The sequence below is a fragment of the Homo sapiens genome, chromosome 21, assembly GCF_000001405.40.
Source record: "Homo sapiens chromosome 21, GRCh38.p14 Primary Assembly".
Lineage (NCBI taxonomy): Eukaryota > Metazoa > Chordata > Mammalia > Primates > Hominidae > Homo > Homo sapiens.
Genome location: NC_000021.9, coordinates 32,762,801 through 32,771,325, shown reverse-complemented (window position 1 = coordinate 32,771,325; position 8,525 = coordinate 32,762,801). Strand labels below are relative to the sequence as shown.

General features: G+C 39.6%; 1 protein-coding gene across 7 annotated transcripts in view; it reads left to right on the top strand.

Annotated features, from left to right (window-relative positions):
- Nucleotides 1–8,525, top strand: part of PAXBP1 (PAX3 and PAX7 binding protein 1) — a 37,857-nt gene that overhangs the window by 430 nt on the left and 28,902 nt on the right. For all 7 annotated transcript variants that reach the window (NR_027873.2, XM_006724066.3, NM_016631.4 and 4 more), the window contains exons 2-3: nucleotides 1,384–1,512; nucleotides 6,802–6,978. Coding sequence is in view for 6 of the 7 variants with exons in the window: in XM_006724066.3 (XP_006724129.1) it covers nucleotides 1,384–1,512; nucleotides 6,802–6,978 (306 nt within the window). In the remaining variant the exon portion in view is untranslated. The remainder of the gene's footprint in view (nucleotides 1–1,383; nucleotides 1,513–6,801; nucleotides 6,979–8,525) is intronic.

Sequence of the window (8,525 nt, the reverse complement as noted above, 5' to 3'; positions counted from 1 at the left end):
GTAAAGTGCGCGCTTCGGACGCCCTTAGACGGCCGCATCCCCGACGCAGGCCCCCGTCCCCCGCCCCCGTATTCTCTGGACGCCCAGCCCCGGAGCCCTGGAACGGAGTCCCCTGCCGTCCGACCGGCTGCGAATCTTCCCCAGCCTCCGGCCTTCTGCTCGGGCAAGGGACGCGTTCCCGCGCTGCCCCCAGCCTTTTCTTAACCACCTCCTCTGCCACGGGGCCGGAGCTCAGATCAGGCATTCAGAGTGTTTCAGGGGAAATTCGGTGTTCCCTGTCCTGCCTCTTTTCTGCCTGGCGTGTTTCAGGGCCAACTTGGTGTGGGTCCCCTGGCTGCTCTTGGCATGCTTTCCGAGCCCTCTGCAGGTCACTGCGCCCACACTTCTTGGATGCTCTGTCCAGGCATCCTCGACCATGAAGGCCGAGTTTGTAAAAAGGAATACTAGGAGAGGGAACAGAAGCCTGGAGTTGCAGCTCTGGTTCTGAGTGACCTTGGGCCAGTCCCTTGCAGTCGCTGAGCCTCAGTTTACCCATAAAAGTAATTAGGGGTAGCAGATACCCAGCCTTCTTCGCACTGACTTTGGGAACAGTGAAGCGAGACGGTGTAAAAATAGTAAAAGCAAGGTAGTTTCTCCAATTCCTGTGGGAGGCCAGGCTGCAGTGGTTTTAGATTGCTGATCTTAAATGAGCCTTAAATCTTTTCTTCTGACCATTTGAATGTGCATAACCCAGTTAATTCCATGTTACGAAAAAAGAAATTAAGTTTTGTAAATCTTGCATTTTTATTCGAGAGGTTTCCAGTAAGGTAGGTAGTTTATCTTTGGCATTTCTGTTACTCTTTATTTGGTTTGAGAGGAGTACAGACAGATTTTTGTTTTTGAGATACATGAGCTATTTTTTTTTAAGTATTTAGTACTTTTAAAATTTCAAATCAAAGAAAAGTGATTTGCCCTTACCTTAGCTTTAAAACCACTATGTCAGCTTGTGGTGGATGTAGTTACTCAGAATTGACAGCACCTTTTTATTTTAGATATTTTGTTTCGGATTCGTTAATAACTTGGTGATGTGGTTTTTCAGAAACATTTTGAATGATTTTTTCCCCTCTCAAATAGATGATTTAAGGACGACAATAATAGGAAAATTTTGTGAAGTTACATGTGCTATTCCTTTAAAAAGTCTCAAAAATCTCATTACTTCACAGTAATTTAGGAAGTTGACCTCTGTTTTTGAGTCTGTGACAGACTTGAAATAATTATACAATGATTTTGGCATATGAGTATATATATTTGGGATAATTTGGACAGCACGTAAGATCATGTGAAAGAAGGGAAAATATTTTCAGAAAATAGTTGCTACAGACTTCATTTAATTTCCTTTTTAAGAAAATGAAGAAGTTTTCAAAGTGAAGAAATCAAGTTATAGCAAAAAGATAGTAAAATTGCTCAAGAAGGAATATAAAGAAGATCTTGAAAAATCGAAGATTAAGACAGAACTCAACTCATCAGCTGAAAGTAAGTACCAAACTAATTGAATTCTTTTGAAATGACAAAATGAAAGCTCTTTCTCACAGTGATTTGCTGTATATCTTCTGAACTCATTCAGTGGACCCTGTGGTTGTCAAGGGCCCTTATTGAGTAGCAGTACAGTTCTGTTATTTAATTGTAACACAGATGCTTTGTAAATGTATTTTATAAGAAGACAGAATTGTTGCCACTGGAACATTTCTGCTGCAATGACTAGATTCTCTCACAGTTTTCCTACTTGTGTGCAGACTGCTGTTGAACAGAGAAAGAAGGTTTCTCATTTTAGCCTAAGACACAGGTTTATTTCTGTTTGAAGGAGTGTTGTGCAAATTCTTGTATTTTGTAGAGACAGATTTGCGATTTCTTTGGTGGTATTTCCACAGTGGATTTTATTCTTAGAGAACTTTTAGGAATGCCCTAAATTTAATATTAGTATTACTCCCATTCAGCAGCCTTATCTGATACTAGATGAAGACTCCTTAGAATAATGAGGCAGGTATATTGTACAGACATCTCTTACGTCTCTCAAAACCTCAGTTTAAAAAATTTTAAGCGGTTATTTTGTCTTTAGGAAAGTGGATCCAGTATAATATTCTATGGTCTGAGTTATTCTCCTGCAAATGCTATTTTATTTTATGGAATTAATGAGAAAATCATGATTTTCCAGATTCTCACTTACAGGCTTATTGTGAAAAAGTATGGCTTTGTATCTCAAATTTACAATCTAGATGTGAAGACAATATCTCATAAATGTGTAAGAGGACTCAGTGTTTGGCAAAATGTTCAATCAGTGTTCCAAAGGGTGGCTACTCTTTCAGAGGAGAGAGGACTGCTTTATGGAAAAAGTGGGACTCGAAGATGGATCTTTGATAGTTAAAATTCCGAAAGGGAAGGTATTGGGGGTATGATCAAGGATTAAAATGACTAAAGCTGTTTTGGAAAAGAACAAGTACACCTGACAGGTCAGAGTAGATGATTTGTGAAGGAAGTAGTTAGAAGTTTCATGTGAAAGATACGTTGACAGATTGTGAAGGATGTTCAGTATCCAGTAAGGGTTTACATTTGCTACAGTGGCTTGCCAAGATGGTGACATGATAAATGCGTTTTGAAACTTTAGCCTGGTATTAACATGCAGCATGAGGAGAGATTGGAGGCCTAAAGCAGTTTAAACTCAAGGGCCAGCTTTGATCCATTAATAGTGGGTTTAAAAAGGTCTCACAGTTGAGCAAGAGTAAAGGCTTCTACTGATTTAGTAGGAAATTCTGGATGAGTTAAAAATGTTTTCTGTTGTTTTAGGGGGAGAAGTGGAAAGAAAGAATGATTTGAGAACCATTCCAAGGGAAGAATTGATAGGCTTAATATACACTTTGCCATATTGGATTTAAAAGAAAGAGTCAAATTTGAACTTTTGTCCTGGAGTGTCTTAATCCATTTTCTGCTCCTGTAACAATACTACAGACTAGGTAATTTATAAACAATAGAAGTTTATTTGGTTGACAGTTCTGGAGTCTGGGAGGGCCAAGAGCATGGCACAGGCATCTACTAAGGGCCTTTATGTTGTCATAACATGGTAGAAGGGCAGGTGAGTCTCCAAGACAGAGAGAGAATATCCTGCCAAACTCATCCTTTTATCAGGAGCCTGGGATAATGGCATTCACCTTCTCATGTTGTAACTGCCATTTAAGGGCCCCACCTGTTAATAACGTTACAATGGCAATTAAATTTCAACATGAGTTTTGGAGAGGACACTCAAACCATAGGGTGTCTTGGTTATGAATAATTATATATAGGAATAGAGAAGGCAAGTGGAAGGAGGAATGTTTTTAGGAGAACTGGTTATTTTGGAGTCTAGGAAACTGCCTTATTTTCCTCAGAATTCTTGAGACCAACTATATATGATGAGAGTAAAAGAAAGGTCAGGATAAGTGACAACTGAGAAAGGCCTGTTGTCATGGTTGTTGTATTAAGTCTGTTTTCATGCTGCTGATAAAGACATACCCAAGACTGGGAAGAAAAAGAGGTTTAATTGGACTTACAGTTCCACGTGGCTGCGGAGGCCTCAGAATCATGGCAGGAGGTGAAAGGCACTTTTTACATGGCGGCAGCAAGAGAAAATGAGGAGGAAGCAAAAGCGGAAACCCCTGATAAACCCATCAGATCTCGTGAGACTTATTCACTGTCATGAGAATGGCACGGGAAAGACCAGCCCCCATGATTTAGTTACCTCCTCCTGGGTCCCTTCCACAACACGTAGGAATTCTGGGAGATAAAATTCAAGTTGACATTTGGATGGAGACATAGTCAAACCATATTAGTTGCCATTTATTGTTGGGTTTAGAAATTGAAACAAGTGTGAAGTTGATGAAGCCATCTCTGACCTCTTCCATCCTTCTATCCTCATTGAATTCTGATACTCCACTCACTAGATAACTCCAATTAATGTCCTCTGAAGGCGGAGTCTGATTGTATTGTAGGTTGTCATTGGTAACACTGAAATGAAGGTCTGTCATTAATTGGCAATCCAGAACTCTTCCTACCTTCAACCCTCTATAGTAGGCAGAGACAATTAACTTCAAAATAACCACGGTATTGACTTGAGAACCCCATTTTTCTGATATTCTTAAAATAATGAGTTCTCTTTTTAATTTGAATTTGAGTGGAAGTAGTCAGTGAATACCTAGAGATGTAGATTTGGGGGTGGTGCTTATTGCGGTGATAATTAAAGGTGAATGGAATTGATGAGGGAGCCGTATATAAAGGAAAAATTCCTGAAGACCAAAGACTTCTACTCTAGTAAGCCTACATGTAGAGGAAGGGATTTACCAAAGAGATAAAAGAATCAGGAAGGCCAAAGAGGAAAAGAGAAGAATGTTTCAGGAAGATGATGGTCGCTTGTGTGAACTAGTACAAGAAAAGTCAGGAAAAGTGAGGACCAAGGAGGGGCTATTGGCAAGATTGCCCAGCGTTTCTCTTGAGGGCTTCTGACAGGATGGATGGGAGTGGCCCACCAGCCAGACCCAGTGCCCTCAGAGATGTTTGGAAGAAGGAACATCTTTTGCTAAATTGCTTGATGATGCTATCATATATGAATTAGCCGTGGCTGCAGCCATTGGGTTAGGTTGGGTGAAATCAAAGGCTGTTTGTAGGGTCAAGGCACAAAAGTTGGAGAGGAAGTAGAGGGCAGCAGGTCCACACTGCTTCCTTGGGAAGTTTGGCAGAGAGAGACTAGGCAATAACTAGAGGGACCAATGGAGTCAAGTGGGAAAGCTCTTTTGATGAAGAGAAGCCTGTCCCTCTTTGTAGAAGAGGAGAGGGAGAGCCTGACCAGGTTTAAGGTGAAGTGGGTAATAATTGTGAGCAGGTTTCCTGAAGTAGTAGTAAATGAAATTGAAGGCATGAGTGGAGCCTTGAAAAAGGTTATTTAACATCTATATAGAGATGTCTGGAAGGGTAACATGTGACCACTGACATTCACATATCACCATGCTTTCGGCTTGTGTTTGCTCAATCATAAGCAAATACTTGTGAATTTAATGAAACATTGAATCCTAAAATTTGTAGGAATCATTCATTATCTGAGCATATCTGATGTAGTAGACCTTTTGTGCTTTTGTTTTTAGTCCATTAACAGCCATTGGTTTAGCATGGGTAAATTTGTTTTGTTTTTGAGGTGGAATCTCGTTCTGTTGCTCAGGCTGGAGTGCAGTGGGGCGATTTCACCTCACTGCAGCTTCTGCCTCCTGGGTTCAAGCGATTCTCCTGCCTCAGCCTCCTGAGTAGCTGGGACTACAGGTGTGCGCCACCAAGCCCAGCTAATTTTTGTATGTTTAGTAGAGACAGGGTCTTACCATATTGGCCTGGCTGGTCTTGAACTCCTGATCTCAGGTGATCCACCCGCCTTGGCCTCCCAGGGGATTACAGGCGTGAGCCACCATGCCTGGCCTAGCATGGGTTTAGAGCAAAAGGAAATAGGTAGTTTTTACTCCATCTAATAATGTGATAAAGTGAGTTTTAAAACCTTATAGCTTCATAATCCATTTCAGAGGGAAGTCTGGGTAATGAGAAAATGGTAAATGAAAAAAAAAAAGAAAAAAAATGAAAGAGCCTAAAAGAGGTTACCTAAAATCTTCTTGGTAAAGTTAAAAAGAGGGGAGGGATGTTATCTCTGGGACTGTTACTTAAGGGAGTACAGTATGGTTTGAGAAGAAGGAAGAAGTTTGAAGCAGTTTTGGGGACAGGAACATTCTAAGGAAATGACAGAAAAATATCTTTCATATTGAGAATAAACTTTTGCTTTACTCTTTCAGTATATTCCTTGTGCCTGTTGTGAGCATTACCAGGTTCAGTGCTTCAAGGTGAAGCACTTCGATTTTTGCCTGGGACAGAGGCTGTATTAGGATTATTTAATTGTAAGTAATGTAAACCAGGACAGTTTATCATTAAGATGTAGTGGTGCCTCCTGGATGACAATGGCAGGAAAGCAATCTTGAAATGGGCCTCAGGAGTGGATTAGAACTGAGAATTAGGAGGCTCTCTTCTCTGTCCAGATGGCACAATGTGGCCATTCCTCAGCTCCCTTCCTAGTTTACATATTCATGTAGCCTTTAGTTTCAGTCCTGATTCCAGATTCCCAGAAAGAGAATCTGGTTATCTCTGCTTCAGTCAGAAGTCCACTCTTAAACATTGAGTCGTGGTAGTGGGGTCAGGCTTGCACAGTGTAAATGTGACTGCTGGGATCTCATCTCTTTAGGTGATAGGTGACAAGTGGTTTTGAGCTAAGAAGGTATTCCATGTAAGTGTCCATTACTAAGAGACTTAGCTGGACTGTAAATGTGCTTTGTTCATAACAGAGTTGCCTCGCATGGGCTTAGGGTTTAATGAAATACTAACATAAAATGAAGTAATGCTTGAAAGAGGTACAAGCAGTTCCTTGTGGGAGTTTAGCAGAAAAAACAGTTAATTTTGATAAATTGTTGACATTTTGATAAAATTAACTGAAGGTGGAATGGAGCAGGGCCTCAAATGCATCCTTTATTACATCCTCTGTATTATTTTTACCTAATCCTGTCTGTTATGCTGTTTCATACTCACACACTCAAGAGTTATGAGTTTTTAACAAACAATTAATTCAAGCTTTACTGGATTGAGCCCATAATTGAATGAAAAGTTCCCCTTTTTTTAATTAAAAAAATTTTTAATGATGTCAATACCATTGGAATAAACTTTCTTAATTTATGAATTTTATTTTACATATATTTTAATTCTTCAAAAATTTAGGTGAACAACCTTTGGACAAAACAGGACATGTTAAGGATACAAATCAAGAAGATGGAGTTATCATCAGTGAACATGGTGAAGATGAAATGGATATGGAAAGTGAAAAAGAGGAAGAAAAGCCAAAGACTGGTGGAGCTTTTTCAAATGCTTTATCTTCATTGAATGTTCTTCGTCCAGGTGTGTACTCAAAAGTATTTCTCAGAACTAAACTAAACCCTCAAGAATGGGCCATCTTTAAAGATGATTATTAAGAAGGAATTAGCTGAGTGGTGTTTCTTATTATGACATTGCTGTTTGAAGAGGGAGTTTTTCCATTTGCAAATATAAAAAATAGGAGAACCAGAAGTTTCCCAACTTTTCCAAGTTTATTCACAGACAGGTAATTGTATTTTGCAAATAAGTCTTCAAGTAAATGGAAAAATGGTCCTGTAGTCCTTTTTAATGTATTTCAGATTAAGACTGACTTAACTTTCTTCTGAACTGCTGCTAAAAGCAAAACTAGTTTCTGTTAGTTTTTTTTTTTTTTTTTTGCTTTTTGAGGCGGAGTTTCCCTTTTGTTGCCCAGGCTGGAGTGCAATGGCACGATCTCAGCTCACTGCACCCACCGCCTCCCAGGTTCAAGCGATTCTCCTGCCTCAGCCTCCTGAGTAGCTGGGACTAACAGGCGTGCACCACCATACCCAGCTGATTTTTGTATTTTTAGTAGAGATGGGGTTTCTCCATGTTGGCCAGGCTCGTCTTGAACTCCCAAACTCAGGTGATCCGCCTGCCTCGGCCTCCCAAAGTGCTGGGATTACAGGCGTGAGCCACTGCACCCGGCCTAATTTCTGTTAGTTTTATGTCCACACTCCTTTTTACTTTTCTGCAAAAAATAGTTTGCAGGTCTATCCACTGGCTAATCAGCCTTTGAATAAATAAGTGCTTAGTAGCCAGATTTAAATTATGAAGCAGTACCATTTAACTCCTGTTAATGTTTATACAATTTAAAAATATGCTACTCTGGGCTGAGAAAGTTGTAGTAAATTCTATACATACATCACTAGTGGCAGTCTGATTGGTACAGTCCTTATGGGAAGCTCTTTGGCAATATGAATCAATAGATTTCAAAATGTTCTTACTCTTGACCCAGTAATTTCATATCTAGAGATTTATCCCAAGGAAACCATGTTTTTATTGGAACATTTGCAATGAGCAACATTTAGGAAAAAATGTCTAGCAGGAGGGGAAAGGTTTGTTAGAAAATTACAGTACATTTACTTGATAGGATATTATGTAACTGTTAACAATTAGGCAAGTAGGGAGGCATTAATTTTTGCTATACTCAAAAGGTCAGTTAATGTGTGCGGTAGATTATGCCTTATCTATGCAGAAAATGTTAAACCATTAAAAATTATGTTTATGGAGAACAATAACATGGAATAAAACTTATTATGATATGAGAAATAGGTACAAAATTAAATATTTAGTATGATTACAGGTAAACTAAAAACTATCTGCAAGAGAAATGTACTATACATCATATAGTGCCTTTTCAGGGTCATGAGATTATATTATTTTTATCTGTTTTCCAGCATCATAATACAGTTTCATTACTTTTTTTTTTTTTTTTTTTTGAGACGGAGTTGTGCTCTTGTTGCCCAGGCTGGAGTGCAGTGGTGCAATCTCGGCTCACTGCAACCTCTGCCTCCTGGGTTCAAGCGATTCTCCTGCCTTAGCCTCCCAAG